At 43.0% G+C, this 17,048-nt stretch overlaps 1 annotated feature.

Annotated features, from left to right (window-relative positions):
- Positions 2,750 to 2,819: a silencer, noted in NCBI's record as "silent region_1446". NCBI's record gives its function as "represses an Ori minimal core promoter by ATAC-STARR-seq in GM12878 lymphoblastoid cells {active_cell/tissue: GM12878}" and the evidence as "EXISTENCE:reporter gene assay evidence [ECO:0000049][PMID:35858748]".

The following is a 17,048-nucleotide window of genomic DNA, read 5'->3' as shown; positions in this document are numbered from 1 at the left end:
GGGTCTTCAAGGCTCAAGGGCAATATAGACCCTGGTGGGGACTGACCCCCGCTGCCAGAAAAGGATTTGATCAGAGTCTTCTTAGAGAGATCTTCGGTTTTTCACAGTTCCAGGATGGGGCAAGAGGTGGTAGTTTCAATCCACATTCCCAGATGGGCTCATCTGATGATGAGAAAACAGCCCTTCATGGAGCGTATGTATGCAGAGAGAACCACATGTTAAAAGCAACAGGCACACATAACTTTTAATTACAAATAATAAATGGTTCAGAAGCAAAACACTGCAGATCAGATGTAGCATGAAAGAGCTGGGAACTGGGAGGAAATGGACGTGACATTCCAGGCAGAGGGAGTGGTGTGTGAGAAGGTCTGAGATAGGAGGGAGCAAGTGTGATTCAGGGGCTGATGGCTTCTATTGAGGTCCAGTTTACATCCAGTACAATTCATCAGTTTAAAGTATATTAACAAAGTTTCCTTGTGTTTCTTAGAGAAAAATTTTAACTTTTCTACAACTGCATATTAGATTCATGTACTGTTTTTCTTCTTACATGGGAATGGGGGACTGTCTGGCCTGGTCTGTCATTTTTCTGATGATATCATGAGTCAAACCATGTCTCCCCTTTCTGTTTGCATCTTCCCCCTGGAACTTAAGTTGAGAGAGACACATGTTGATGTTCTCTGCTTATCTACTGTGTAGACACAGGTGGGTTTAGAGGCTGGACTGTGGGTAGCTATCTTCTGAAAGCTTAGTTTCTATGGTCTTTCTCTGAATTTGTTGAAAACATTTGCACTTCAGGTCAGTGTCCTGGGCTTATGCAGTGTTTTCCAGTGATGGTAGTGCCCCATTAATGTTCATATCTGTGAGTGTGTATTTTAGTTTCTGCAAGGCCCACCAACTTGGTAACCAGTATCATTTGTGTTACTATCTCTGGGAGCAGAGCCTAAAGAAAACAGCAGGCGGCTGGGCGTGGTGGCTCACGCCTGTAATCCCCATACTTTGGGAGGCCAAGGTGGGTGGATCATGAGGTCAGGAGTTCGAGACCAGCCTGGTCAGCATGGTGAAACAACATCTCTACTGAGAAACAGAAAATTAGCCAGGCATGGTGGTACACACCTGTAATCCCAGCTACTCAGGAGGCTGAGGCAGAAGAATCAATTGAACCCAGGAGGCGGAGGTTGCAGTGAGCTGAGATCATGTCACTGCACTCCAGCCTGGGAAATAGAACAAGACTCTGTCAAAAAAAAAAGAAAGAGAGAAAGAGAGAGAGAAAGAAAGAAAGAGAGAGAGAGAAAGAAAGAAAGAGAGAGAGAAAACAACATGCTCATTGCAAACCCTTCTGGGAGAATTTCTTGAGTAAGGATGAAGAGCTTTGCAGAAGCTACAAAGTTTGTTTCCTGAAACAAAAGGCAGAGCAGGGTATCTTGGCTGTTGTAAGGCTGAGATTTGAGTTCACTTGGAATCAAGCCATTCTTCACTCTTGAGATGCTTACTCAATGCAGATCAGCTCCCACTGCAGATATTAGAGAGACCAGTAATTACAATGGAATATTTGGAAATTTTTCTAACAGATGCCTAGCCACATCCTCACATTTCTTGGTGTGTGTAGCACCACTGTGGGAAAGAGCTGGTAACTTGGGTGAATTAATGGGACTCTTCTCCTTATATGTTAATTTGCAGAGGCTAGGGAGGGATGGAACCCACACATGGATTCCCAGCTTCCCAGTTGTGCTCCCAGGATATGATGCTGTTCTGCTTAAGACTCCTTTCAGAGTTCGCGCCTGAAGGTCCAGACCTGTGATGGCTGAGCTGAGCTGAGCAGGGCAGGGCAGGGTGGGTAACCCACGTATTTGGCCTCATAGTTGAAACCCAGTGTCAGCAGCCGATGGTTCTGGGGTATGTTGCCTCTGATGACAAAGCTGGTGGAGGCACGTGTGTTGGGGCCTTGAGACCACAGAGACCTACAGGGCAGGGGTGAAGCAGCTGCACTGCTTGACCCAAGTTGCACCTGGTGGCAGTGTCAGGAAGGATGGAGCAGACCTGGTAGTTTCTGCTCCCCAAGGTCTGGCTAGCTCTCATTCACTGAAGGACACAAAGAAAATATTACTAGCTACTGCAATAGTTTGTATTTACATATAACTCTTTTAGGGAAATATTTCAAATGTAATTAGCATTATAATGAATCAATACAGCAAGGGATTGAAATATTTGAAACATTTTTGAAATATTTCAAAGGTAATTAGCATTATAATGAATCAGTACAGCAAGGGATTGCGTAAAATGGGGTATAATTGAATTGAATTGTTGGAGTTGTATTCTTCAATCTATTGGCACCTGAAAAGGATGGGTTGATGATTTTTAAAATAGCTAGTTTTTAAGTAAAAGTTTTTAAAATGACTCAAATGTTGGTCCATCATATGGGTAGTAAATAGACTTAAGTCCATGACCAGTAGACCAAAAAAATATGAATGCACATTAGTGATGTTAAAAAGTCCAAATCACCCATTTAGTTCCAGTAGAATAACATTACCTAGCACATTAAATTAACTTGAATGTTATTGCTTTGTTTCTATTTCTATACTTTTAATTTTATTGTTTTGAGATAAGCATACGGTGTCTAGATTTTGTTTGTATGCCTTTGAGTAATGTGATAATAAAACAATTTAAGTCAAAATTGGGATTCAAAGGGCATGTTTGACTTTTAACAGGGGACTCATTCTCAGCCCCACACTAGTGTCTGCCACGCATAGTGTCAGTGACACCTAGTGGTTCAAGCAAGAACTGCAACTTCATTGAATGGTGGACGATTTCAATGACAAACAGGTTCTCCCTTAGATAAGCCTCTGGATTCCTCTGATGCGGTGTTGAAATGAGGGCCTACCAGTCCCTGGTGTCTCCCATATTGGCCTGTTCCACGCTGTAGCTCTTCAGCTATTTGAAGCGACTTTATGGAGGAGGGAATGACACTTTGTATACTAGGAACAAAATGTAGATACAAATGATGACTTTTAGAAGGAGAAAGTTTTCAGGAAGGCATTTCTAACAGTTAGAGTGGTTCAACAATGTACAGCACGAGAGCCACTAAGCCATGATTTTAGGATCACTTGGCAGCCTACTAGGCTCACTCACTAGCTAAGCCATCTACAATACACCAACCTCAGAGAATACACAATGCAATGTTTTTGTATTTGTAAATTTATGAATTGCTACATGCTACAGAACTTCAGGCAATTTATGAAAGGTCAAATCCACTGATTACAGAATTCTAAAGGTCATGATGGTCTTTCCAATGCTCTGTCCTCAGCAGCCTGTGCCTGACCCATTCCCATTACCATGCCTGCTTTCCCACCCAAGCTCAAGGCCATCCTGGAAAATGTTGCTTGCAGCATCATAGAGGCACCAACACCTCTGAACTCTCATAATTGTCTTTCTGAATCCTGGGATTGGGGACAGGGAGAGGAAGAGGGTAGAAGTGAAAATAAACCGAGCTTGCAGCACCTTCAGCACTAATCATGAGGTCTGCTGCTTTCTAACTGCTTCCCCACAGTTGTTTGGTGCCTATGGCCTCAGAATCATGTAGATCCTCTTTTAAGATTATAGTTCCTATCAACTGTTCTATAAATAACAACTTGAAATGTTATGTTTTCCCTTTGAGATATTCCCTCAGGTCTTGCATACTGATTAAACTACTGACTCAGTGGGTCTGAATGATCCCAGGAGCAGCTGACTCACCAAAATATGCAGTTTCCAATTGCTGATTATTTCTTCCCCCTTACCCCAACCAATCAACAACCCCAATTTTCTGGCATCTCACCCTCCACGATATCCTTAAAAACCCCAGCCCAGAACTTCTCAGGGAGATGGATTTGAGGATCTTCTTCTATCTTCTCACTCAGTGCCCTGTGATCACTAAACTCTTTCTCTGCTGCAAACCCTGCTGACCTAGTGTAAGTGGTCTGTTACTGCACAGCGGTCATAGAAACCTATTGGCCCTATAACAGTAGGTACCATTAATATATTCATATTTCCATTTTAGAAAGATGTGAAACTACTTTTCATAAGTTGTCCAGGCACACCCAGTTAGAAAGTGACAGAGCTGGGCGTCTGTCTGCAGACCTTGCACACTCAACTTCTGTTCTTGGAATGTGTCTCCATATGGTGGTCACTGTTAAGACCCACAAATCTGTCATCATTCCTAGGCCACATGAAGCCCTTCCAATCTTTGCAGGATTTTAGACCCACCTGTGTCTCCGGACGGACCATCCCTGCCTCCAAATGGAATGCCTGGAATTTCATTCATTTGTGCTCTGCCATGTTGCCAGAGTTTCCCCAAATGGGGCCAAATGTCAGCATGCTCTCAGGAAAAGGATGCAGTGTCACAAAGAAACTCCTGTCAAGTTTAGGCAGGTCACACAAGAGCAGGAAATCAAACATGAAGAGGATGGTCAGGGCCCCCAGTACAACATGCCCAGAGAACAGAACCTGCCACAAACAGCTCAGGTCCAGGGCCTATGGCATGGAGACCACGAAGCCAGGCACCTGATTCTAAGGAAAGGCCTCGAATCATGGCTGAGAATCAAAATGCAGAAACCATATGCATCTGATCTTTCCCAAATCTGGGAAGACTGGAGTCCAGAGGCCTCATGATCCCCTTAATTTATTAGGCTACCTCCTTCATTTAATGAGAACTGTCTTGTTAACCCCATTCTCAGGTCTGTAGAACCATGAGAGTTTTTGTTTTTAAATATCTTGTTTGAACACAAGTTCTTCTTATCTCAGGATCCCCATAAATCTCCTCTTTGTAAATAGGACTTTGGTCACCATCATACTTGGGATGAATATCTCATAATCTCTTAACTGCATTTTACCCATGACCTTACTAATTTTATCCCATTTGCTTGAAACAACTTTTTGTTGCCATCACTTTTCTTCCTGGCCTCTGTGGATTTTTCCTGAAGGCATCACAGTTGAAAGGCTTCACCCTTCTGAGGATGTTTGTGGATGCTGACCCTGTGTTCTCATTGAGTTTGCTCTGTGGATCGAACTCCTGAGCCTCCAACTGCAGATATTATGACACGTTAAGTACAAGGCCACCTTTGACTCTTTCATCGTCATGAAGGTGCAATTCTTTCCCTACCTGTTTGCAATTTGGAGCACATCTATTCTTTTCCCTAAGGCAGTGACTCTCAAACTCTAGGAAGCAACAGGATCACCTGAAACGCCCGTTGAACCATAGATTGCTGGGCCCCACCCATAGAGAAGAAGAAAACAGAGAGGAGGAGGGGATAGGAGGAGAGGGGAGAAGAGAAAAGAAATGACTAGAGTTATTGCATGTCATAGGGTCAGTGGTGAAATATGTATTTATTGTCTGTCAGTGGCAAAAGCTTTCAGGACTTCTGTCACCTCTCTGCTAAGAGTTCCTCCAGCCTCTGCTTGGTTAATTCCAGGGAAGGAGAAACCCACTGCTTCCCAGGATAGCACCTTAAGCCTTGGGGAGCTGAAACAAGTCACACGCCATGTGGGGGCAGGAGTGACAACCAGGAAGTCAGAGTTATCTCTGACCACAACTCCTTCTCTTATTTCCCTTGGTTGTGAACCTCTTTTTCTACCATGATCTCTGGCAGCCACTGGTATGTTTGCTGTCCCCATAGTTTTGTCTTGTAAGAGTGTCATCAACATGGAATCACACAGTTTGCAGTCTTTTGAGAATAGCTTCTTTTGCTTGGAATAATGCATTTGAGAGTCATCCATGTGAGAGAGGCAGGTGGCAGGGGGCTCCCCAGAAATACTCTAACCAGCCTGCACACTGGGGTGGAGCCACAGAAATTTGCACTCTTTGCAGTGGGGAGGACTCGGGCCTCTCCTCTTCCTGTGTGGAACCTGGGATTTGAAAAGTGGGAGGGAAATGCTCCAGCAGGGACTCTCACCTTCCAAGAGTTCTTCCTTGCCCCTTCCTTTTCACCCACCACAACCCTGTCTTACTCACCATTTAAATTGTCTGCAAGCCTGAATTTTCATGGCTGTGGGAGAAAGAACCTTGTTTTTAGCTGAACTAAGGAAAAGTTCTGCAACATTTTTGGCACCCAACGTTTGGCTAGAGAAGCAGTGAATGAAATGGGGACTCAAAACCTCTCGCTGTTGCTCCTAAGCCTTTTCATCCTCAGACTCCTGAGAGTAGATAAAACCATGCCCCCAACCCCCTTAGCTCCTGGGACTTTTAGTAGCATTTTCCTTCCTTTTTCAGGACCCACTGGTGAGCAGCAGCTCCCCACTGCTCTCCCCTCCCTGCCAGGGCTGGGATGCATGGCCCAAGGGTCTCACAGAGCCAGCTGGCTGGCATTTTCCACCACAAGCCACTGGAGCCTTCTCCTTCTCTGGTCAAGGGGTTCAGCTCCATTGGACAGTAATTAAGCTTTTCTCTTGGTAGAGGAACCCCTTGCCTAAGAATAAGAGATTCTTCCCCAGGCATTTTTAAACTATTCTCTTTTTTACCCTCTTCTCTACCCTGTCAGCAGTTAAGTTTTAAGCAAGATTTTTGTTTTTGTTTTTTGGGTTTTTTTTAGAAGACGTTTTACTAGGCCAAGCCCCACAACTATCACTGTTTGTACTCTCCATAAAGTTTTTCATTGTGAAAAAGAATCTCGTAGGGACTGGGTTTTCTTCTGCCTGTCTGTGTGTGTTATTATGTGTAATGTCTGTAAAAAGAGCTCTAATTAATTTGGCCTAAAGAAAGACCAGTACTTGAATCAAGTATTTTTTTAACGGAAGTTAAAAAGCTGCACTACACTCAAATCGTAGCAAGGATAACTATAGCCACCAGTTATCTAGGTGTGTCACAAGCCATCTTTTTCTCTTCCTTGTTGGAGAAGGACTCAGTTCCAGAGTCTCACTTTAACATTCGGCTTATGAGAAGGAGTCCATGCAAGCCCCTGAGACATATTTTTGTCCCAAACTCAATTCCAGGCTTCGGGTCAATGTTCTAAGAAAGAGAACTGGATCTAAGGGATCCAGAGGCAGGCAACTACAAGGCCAAAAGGCAGAGCACAGATGAGTGTGGCTGATTCCTGCCAATTAAGCCAACCCCAAGCTTCCTATTTCATGGATAAAGGCCACATTAATATCCACAGCATAAATGAGATCTAGGGAACTCCAAGGCTACCTACAGCAGGGGAGACAGGGCATACGTGGGTAAGAGTGGATGATCCCCACCCCTAAGAGCCCCCTGCTTCATGGGTGCAAGGCTCTTTTGCACTCATGGCAGGACCTTCCAAGGTCACTGGAACTCAGGGACGCAAGCACGGAAGAGGAAGGAGGATGCTCTTCCTTCTCTCCGTCACATGCCCCAGGTATCTGCTAGGAAGAGAAGTGAACCAGGGATGTCTGCTCCCCTCTTTCTAGATGGGTAGCCATTCATCTTCAGTCTGTACCCCTTCCGAATGCATCCTGAACCTCTGGGACTCCTTTAACAGGTGCCTCTTTTTTTCCTTTCTCCTTCTCTGTCCTCTCTTCACTAATAGGTAATTGTGTCTCTGTACTACAAGACACTCCCTTCAGATGCATCCTACAAACTGGAAAGAGTTAATTTCCCAAACCTTAAAATGGCTGCCATAGGATTGGGCTCAGGGGAAGAGAACCCAGAAGCCCAACATGCTGGCAAAAGGGTAAAGTATTTTAACCAGTTGGGCTTTTGGCCTCCCTCTTCCTGTGCAAACTGGTAAAAGGCCTCAGAATTTTTGAGCTGTCCTTAACCCTCCCCTTGTTTCATTTGGATACATGTTTTCTAATAACATAGTTTGTCTCTTCTTGCCTTCAGGCCATCAAACTCCAAATAGTCATGCAGCTGGAGCCTCTGACAATGTCCCCTTCTGCTGGGAAACCTTAAATAGACCTTTGAGGGAGCTCGGACTGTTGTTTCCCCAAAACAGCATCCTATGTCAGCAGGAAGCAGTTAAGCTGGGTCTTCATCCTTATGCTTAATCTAACAAAAGTTTGATGTACTTCTTTAGAAAGGGGAATGAGACAGCCAGGTGGGAGGGGGATACCCGGAAAAACTCCAACCAGCCTGCACAATGGGGTGGAGCCACAGAAGTTCACACCCTTTGTGGGGAGGAGTCAGGCCCCTCTTCTTCCTGTGTGGAACCTGGGATTTGAAGGTTGGGAAGGAAGCGCTCCAGCAGGGACTCTGTCCTTCCAAGAGTTCCTGTTTGCCCCTTTTCTTCCTTTTAATTCAGTAAAAACCTGTCTTACCATTTAAATTGTCTGTGAGCCTGAATTTTCATGGCCATGGGACAAAGAACCCCATTTTTAGCTGAACTAATGAAAAGTCCTGCAACACCTGTCTTATTTTTCTGGAGTTTGTTCTCTTTTTTAATTGCTGAGAAGGATTCCATTGTATGGAATTTGTCCAATTTGTTTATCCATTTCCCTATTAAGGGATATTTGGGTTGTTTCCAGTTTTGGGTGACTATAAACAAAACTGCTAAAAATGTACATGTATAGGTTCTTCTGTAAATCTCAGTTTTCATTTCATTTGGGTAAAACCTAGGGGGGAATTTCTGGGTTGTACAGCAAGTGTATGCTTAACTTTATAGGAAATTGCCAAACTGAGAAGCAGTTTCTAAAATGTTTATGAATATTTTAGTCTTCAGAAATGCTTGGGGTGGGTACTGTTATTATCCCACTCCCAGGTGCTCAGTTCACCTGGGCTAAGCAGCTTGCTGCAGTCACAAAGTTGGCACGTGGTGGATCTAGGGAAGGTGGGCTCAGACACTCTCGCTTGATGCAAGTACTGCTCTCTGCTTCAGTTTCTGTTTTCTCATGACTGGCTTCCTTTGCTTTCTCACAGTCTCTGCCCTCCTAATGCAGGTTGGCCCGGCCCAGCCTTCTGTGAACCGCCTCCATCGGGACATTTTCCCTGTGGTGATGCCATCTGGAGCTGCCCATGCCCTGAGAACTGCAGCTGTGTGCCGAATGCCAGCTCTGCTGCTGGCAAGCCACTGGCCTCCAGCTGCTGCCTCCTTTTGCCCCGTTCCCTGTCAGGGCCCCAAAGAGACAGGGCAGTCAGCTCTCCTGGCTACTCTGGTTCCAGCCTGGCACAGCCAGGGGACCTAGTGACACCTATTGGCCATTAGTTAGAACTGTGGCTGCACTTGAGTTCAGTGTGCAACAAGAAGGCTCTGATGGGGCTCAATGTTAAAAAGGTGAGCACATATCCTTTACCCACGTTTAAAACTTCAAACAGCTGGTTCAGACATGCAATAAAAAGTAAAGTTTCTCCTCCCTATAGCTCGCGTTTACTCCTGTGATAAACATTTTCTGTTTTTAGTTATCTGGTCAGCACACGAATATAAGTAACTTGATAATACATGTAAATTCTTGATTTATCCACTTTAGATAGTGTATTAGTCTGTCCTCCCTTGCCATAATGACATACCCAAGACTGAGTAATTTATAAAGAAAAGAGGTTTAATCAGCTCATGGTTCCACAGGCTGCACCGGAAGCATGATGCAGGCATCTGCTCATCTTCTGGGGAGGCCTCTGGAAACTTACCATCGTGATTGAAGGCAAAGGGGAAGCAGCCTCATCACACGGTCATAGCGGGAGCAAGAGAGAGAGGGAGAGTGCAGGGGTAGGGGCCACACACTTGTAAACAACCAGATCTCACAGTAACTCACTATTGTGAGGACATTACCAAGGGGGATGGTGGATGGTGCTAAACCATTCATGAGAAATCTGCCCCAGAGATCCAATCACCTCCCACTGGGCCCCACCTCCGACACTGGGGATTACATTTTAAAATGAGATTTGGGCAGGAGCACACATCCAGACTATACTAGATGGTGTCTATTACCTACATTGTAGGAAAGATAAAGAATTTAGGGCATTATATGACTTTTCATTCTTCCTGTCCCCTTTACTTCATCATTTTAATCTGTAACATTACTAGATTTTTTAGTGGTTAGATTTATGCTTTAAAATAATGTATATAAATCTCAGTTTCTTGATGTATTAATATTAGAAAGAGTCTCTATTGATTCTGCACTACACGAAAAAAGGAAATTAGTGCACATAGACTTTGCTGTGCTCTCCACCTCCAGATTTCTGTGAGCCATAATATCACTTCTGGGTTGCACATGTTTATAGAATTTGAATACTGAAGTAGACATAATTACGTGTTCCGTGCTTGAAGTTGATTCTAAAAATTGAAAACCCTTAAACAGTATTTAAGGCATTATGATGATGTAAACACGATTCACTGCAGAACCAAGTACTGTGACTAGGCCCACGGAAAAGGAAATAAAATACTACATAATTAAACCTTGAGCACTCAAAGGAGAATGTTCTATGAATGAAGGTCTCTTTTCTCCACTCCATTAGTTATCCACAGTTACCCACGCTTCAGTTGCATCAAATTTGAACCACGACTTTCTTAGACTGTCTTGTTTTCCCTGGGTTTCTAATTGTCATTCTATTTGCTGTAAGTTTTATTGAGGAATAACATAGCTCATCTGATTGTTTAGAATTGACTAAGACCTGCTTAGAATCTTTATTCTGTATTCTTACTTCTATAATTTCTGGAGTGGAAGTGACTTCCTCTGGTGGAAGTGGCACAATCTTCACCGAGTCCTCTGACTTTTTGGATGTGTCGTTTTCTGGGGCTGCTGTGTAGCTGTCAGCTTGGATTTTTTTCTGGCACACCTGAGTCCTACATTCTCATGGATCTTGTGACATTTTCTTTCTTGGATTTTATTTTTTTTGCTAAAGTTTAGATTTGCTGGAACATGTGATACGTCAGTATAACATGGTGGTTAAAAGTGGGCTTCCCGAGTTTGAAACCTTGCTTCGTATTAATCCTGTGGCCTTGGATAACTGGATCTCAGCACTGTGGCATCTTCATCTGTAAAACGGGCACAATACAGCTCTCTTATAAGTTATTTTGAGATGGAGTGAGACAATGTGTGTAGTACTGTTAGGACAATGACCAATAAATGATAAATCTAATATTTTCATAGATTTTGCAAGGGGGAGGAGTACAGGGATGTGCTCATTTGGCCATCCTGAATTGGCAGACAAGACATATTTCTGAAGTAGTGAAGAAGGCCCACCTCATCACTGTGCACACATTTTATGCTCTCATGCCATCCTCAATGCCAATGACTGACATGTACGTCTCCAGAGCTCCCTCCTGAATCCAGCCTTCCATCGCTGACTGTCTCTTTGACATCTCCACCTGCATGTCCAATGCACATCTCAAGTGCAACTTGCTCAAAACCAAACTCCTGATCTTCTCCCCTAACTTGTTCCACTTACAGTGTTCTCCACCTTAGGATGCAGCTGCCATCCTTCTAGAATCTCAGGCCAAATATTTTGAAATCATGTTGATTCTTTTCTTTCTCTTGAATCTTCATTTCATCCATCAGAAAATTCTGGATACTTTAGCTTCAAGATATGCCCAGTATTCCATCACTTCTGACCCCACCACCTTCACCCTCATCTCAACTGTCACAGTCTCTCACCTGGATCGTGTAGTGGTCTCCTAACTGGCCCCCCTGCCTCCACGTGGCTCTCTGCTGTCTAGCCCCAAACTTGTTGGGTGTGATCCTATTTTATGCCCTCTTCTTGGGGCACTTCGCCCTCTGACACCTGTAGGCTGTCCAAATGGCCATGGAACTTTTCATATCTTTGTTCAGATCACCTTCTCCGTGAGGACTTCCTCAACCACTCTCTTTATTGTTGCAACCTCCCTGGGGCATCCTAATCCCCCTAATTGGCTGTATTTCTTCTTTTTCACAGCACATGCTACCTTCTAAATTCTGACATAAGTTACATATTTATCATGTTTACTGTTCACTGTTTGTTTCCCCTGCTAGAATGTTGGCTCCTTGAGGGCACAATTTTTTTTATTTGCCTTGTTTACCAGTGTATTCCAAGTACTTAGTACAGCAAGCACCTGGCTCAGTTGTAGGTACAGAATATGAATACATATGAATAAGAATTCTCAGTTGTAGGCAAAACTGAGGATGTGCATAGTGGCAAGGTGGGTCTTCTTGATGACTTCTCAACAATTCTCAGTTGTAGGCACTGAATATGAATTCATACTAAATAAGAACACATACTCAGTGAAGGAATTTGCAAATGATAGTGAGGAGAGTGGAGAAGCTCCCACACTGCCTTGCCCCACGGTTTAGCTATTGAAGGTGACACCTGAAGGAGGCAGTTTGGCTAATAAGTACAGGGGGAAGACTCTCCTTAAGGGTAAGAGTGACAGGGAGGTCACTTTCAGAGTGCAAGAAGGGTGACAGGAAACATGAGCATGAGCAGGGCCTGAGGGTCTCAAGAGTCCCTTCCAGCTCTAACTTTCGGTGATTTCAGGCCAGGTGAGGTGCTGAGCTCCCTGGCCCCAGAGGCATTCCAGCATAGGCTGGCTGATGTCTCAGCAGGGATGCTGTGGAGGGCCCAAGCATGAGAAAAGTACAAGAAGTTGATTCCCTTCAAGGTCTTCTCTAATAATAAGACATGAAAATTAAACAACTCACCCCTCCCTGACCACTCCCACACCCCAAATCCTGAGGCCTGGAGTCCCTGGGCCAGCTGGGGAGGGTCCTCCTGTGCCATTCTCTGACCCTCCCTATGCACCTGTTACCTCATGGCTATGGCCACAGCACCTCCTCCTCCTTCCCTTCCCATGCAGAGCTCATTCTATTTTTGGTGAGGCCAGGTGACAGTGGTCTTGACAGAGAGCACAGCCTGGTCAGATGGAAGGAAGGCAAGTGAGGGGCACCTGCCTCTCAGCCTTACTCTCCCATGTCTTCTGCCATGTAATCCCTGAAATGCTGAATTTATGTATTCTCACACCTCCCATTCCTCTCACATTAAAAAGAATACCAGGTTATTTTCCATCATTTTCTTCTGAAGTATGCTTTTGCAATTCAGCAGCTGCTCCACTGTAATGATGGGGGAGGGACCAACAAAGGCAAACAGAAAGCAATGCAAACTTTGTAACAAACACAGGCACCTCCCCACCTGCTTCCATGAACACCTGTATGGTGTTTACTCAAACCTTACCTCCTTCCATACGTAATCCAGTCAAGTAGCTGTTATTTCTTTTCCAGTTTTACAGACAAGATAACCAGAGCTCAGAGAGGCTAAACAGCAATGGGTAGTGGCCTGTACAGGAGCCAGGCCTTCTGGCTCCAAGTCTGGTGCACTCTTTTCCTGCTTCACAGTTGCCTCTCCCCAAATAGGACTCTGTGGCCCATGATACTCACTGAGGACATTTGGTGAAGTGACTAAGCGTGGACTCCGGGGATGCACAGTCCTAGCTCTGACTTACTGTTGTGTGGCCTTAGGCTAAACTAATTTATTTATGTTTCAGTTTCCTCATCTGTAAAATATGGACAGTAATGGATATGTATTGCATAAGCCTGTTGTGCACGCTAAGTAAGATGATTTTGCAAAAAGCTTAACATAAGATCTGACACATTAATTCTTTAATAAGTAGTAGCAGTTTCCCATTTTTATTAAAAGAAAAATTATTGTAGGACTGGTTTGCTTTATTATACTTGGCCTAATTATTTGTATAAAGTGTAGCAAGAATAATTATTTTTACATAGGCCTTTTAAATTGGCTTTGATGGAACTTCGTTCCATAAAAGGAATCTGATATAGGACATTTTTAAAGCCAAGCCCAGCCATGGATTTATACCATCAATACCTATGAGTTGGGTGAATTCTTCTCCTCTTGAGGTTCCAAGATAACTTGGGGTTCGCAGCCTGTCAGAAAGTGACATTCATTACTTACCACAGATCAGAAACCCTGTACAGGGACTGTGTACACAAAATATGAGGCCTGTTTCCCAAGGGCTTTATTGGCTTCATAAGTCAAGTTTAATTCCTTAAAGGAAAGCATACCATCCCAGTAAAAGCCTTGGTAAAAATAACCAGTTTTTCTAATTGTGTCCTGTTACAAAAAAAACAGATTCTTATTGCACTTATGCAAATAACTATATTGCCACAACTTAAGAATACTCACAGATAGTTTCCAAATTCTGGAGAAAATCAGGCAGAGAGAAACAAGTATGCTTCAAATTTTGTTCAAAGGAGTATACTAAATTGTTAAAAGCTGTCAATAGCTCAAAAGAAAAGTTTATTTGACTCTGAGAAGCAAAATAAAGGATTAGTTATATTTTGAGCAAAAAGTCAAAAAGATGACTCCTGTCTCCTGTTAGCTCAGTTCATGCAGTTAATTCCTGCCCCACTTGATGTTGATGAACATTTTTAGCTCGTCAAGAGTCCTGAACATTTTTCCTCTCTTCTGCTGTCACAATCTCCAAAGTTATCAGAAACCTGCATTCAACAGCACCTGTTAGAGTTTTATAGCTGCTTATAAAACCACCTTCTAAAGAGGTACAAAACAAGAAAACATTTGTTTATGGATGACAAAAAGCTTTAGGAAGTAGCCATAGTTAAAGACATAATTGACAAGGAAATCTGTTACCTCTGTGGCACACAATAATTTAACATAACAATTATAATTATTACTGACAACAAACACTAAAATATCTGAGAATCACAGGAGTTTCCCATAATTTTGGAACACATACCAATAACATATTTATACAAATATAGCCCAAAGAAAGCCAAACACAATTTCGTATTTGACAATGCTTCCTGTATGATTTTTATACCAAATAAGCCAAATTTTACCTTTACATTAGTGTGCTATTGATGTTAAACCCAATTCTTAATAAAACCTTATAGACATATTTACCCAATTTTAATGTTTGACCATAAGGCAAGATTTTTATAGACTTTGTATAATCCTTTACAATTTTTGTTAAAGAGCAGGTTAGTGCTGTAAGAGAAACCCATTGTGGTTTAGTTTAATGCTTAATTTACAGAAAAACTGGATGATACCCCTTTAACTTTAGCCAATATGTTTACACACAGAAGTTCCTTTACAATCAACCTTCTACAACTTGCCTCAACCTTAATTTTTATTTTATCTAACTTAAAAAAAATCCCTTAATCTTTTAATCTAGGCAAAAATCCACATCCTCATGCCTCCTTATAATCTTTTTACCATAAGTATATTTTATCTCAGCAGGAAGGAACCCAGTACTTCCCATTTTCAAGTTTACATGATATCAAAGGGAATAAGACAGATATACAAATAAGTGGAGACAAATTTTGGACAACACAAGGGGGAGTGCACTCAGGCAAAACTGACTCAAAACCAACTCAAAATCTGATCTCAACCAAAATGCAAAGCTGGTGTATAAGTAAGCCCTATTGCTTCCCTTGGTGGTACCGGACAAATGACTTAACAAGCCCAGATAGGAAAACAATAGGCTCCTGGCATATGATCTGGTTAACTCACCCTTTGAGCACCTCTGCTCCTGATCTTCATTATTGCCCAGTAGTGAAGGGGACATGCAGATTTGCACATGGAACAGCCCTCGGGAGGATCCCCAGGGGAAACCTTACCCGACAGCTGCCGAAATCCTCCCCGAGACTGTCTTGTCACAAGCTGCCAGCCACTGAATGCAGCACCTTCCTTATCTCCTGGCTGGCTTGCCAAATTTTGTTCCTGGACCAAATTGAAAGTCAGGCTGCTATTTCTTGTGGCCCAATAATGAGATGCAGATGAACTCCAGAAGACCTTCTTCGGGAGCCTTAGTAAGCTTACTTAATCTAAATGGGTCCAGGTGCTGGGGTGATTATCCTTGTCTTGTGATTACCCTTGTCTTGTCTCCTGCTAAATCACAGAGGTTTGGGGAGTTCCTTCAGACCCCCAATAAAACTTGTTTACTCTTAAATGGGTCCCGTTAAGAATTCCTTTTTATTTTGTCATGCTTTAAGGCCCAAGAAAGGCCTAGGCAAAACTCTTGATGGATTTTTGTGATATTCCAACCTTTGTGTAAGGGTACTGGCTTTTCTAGCTTCTAATATTTAACTTAACCACTCACTCAGTGCTAAAACAGTTGTGATAGAGGCCTGTGTTAGTGAGATCTGGCCTGCCACAAGACATCAAAGAGGAGAGTGGACTTTGAGGAGTGACAAAAGACAAAACAGAGAGGAAGTGGGCATAATCTTGGACTAGCTTTCTTTTAACCGCAAATGTGAAGGAAGCCGAGCCTCTCTTCTCTTTGATGAGACCTAAAAGTAACAGCTCAGAGTTCTGAACCAACTGAAATAACCCAAAAAATGTTGTGGAGCTGAGAGACCACCTTCATGATTGTGACGGTTAAGTTTATGTGTCAACTTGACTGGGCAACAGAGTGTCCAGACATTTGATCAAACATGATTCTGAGTGTTTTGTGAGGGTCTCTCTGGGTGAGATTAACATGTGAATAATTAGACTAAATAGAGCAGATTGCCCTCCCTAATGTGGGTGGGCCCATCCAGTTTGAACTTACAGTTCAAAGATTAAATTCCCAAGGAAAATAAAGTAAAATAGTTCAAGCTAAAATCTTCAGTCATTGCCCTCGATGTCTTGTCTGGCTCTGTCCTAGCCAGGGAGTCCCTCACTACCTGGGCCAAGTAGAGGTTCTTTCCACCCTTGTAATGGGAGAGAATGGCTTTCAGGGCTGAGTGAAGTTCTATCAGGAGCTAGGGACCCCATAAATTCAACTCAAAGTATCTCGTGTGCTCCATTTTCCTTCACACAATATTTTATTTTTAACAAGTCTAAATCTCAGAAAACTTTAAAGAAAGACTAGTACAATCAACACCAGCCTGCCCTTTTCTGCATTCACCAATTGTTAACATTTTTTGGGTCACATTTACTTTATCTTGCCCTCTCCCTGCACACGCACACTTACACACACATTTTTTTTCTTATTTTTAATGAACCATTTTAAGGTATTTCACGTATTTCAAAAGCATTTTGAAAGTAATATTGAATTATTGATTTGACAATAATACTTGGTCCGTGTTCAGTTTTCCCTAATTGTTGCCAAAATTTATCCTGTGGGTCTTAGAAAACATCCAGAATCCAGTCAAGCTTCCTATACGGTTGTCAGGTCTCGTTAGTCTCCCTGAGTCCCACT

This window comes from Homo sapiens, chromosome 1 (genome assembly GCF_000001405.40).
Source record: "Homo sapiens chromosome 1, GRCh38.p14 Primary Assembly".
Classification (NCBI taxonomy): domain Eukaryota; kingdom Metazoa; phylum Chordata; class Mammalia; order Primates; family Hominidae; genus Homo; species Homo sapiens.
The sequence above is the reverse complement of the archived record's forward strand: the minus strand, read 5'-3'. Positions and strand labels throughout refer to the sequence as shown.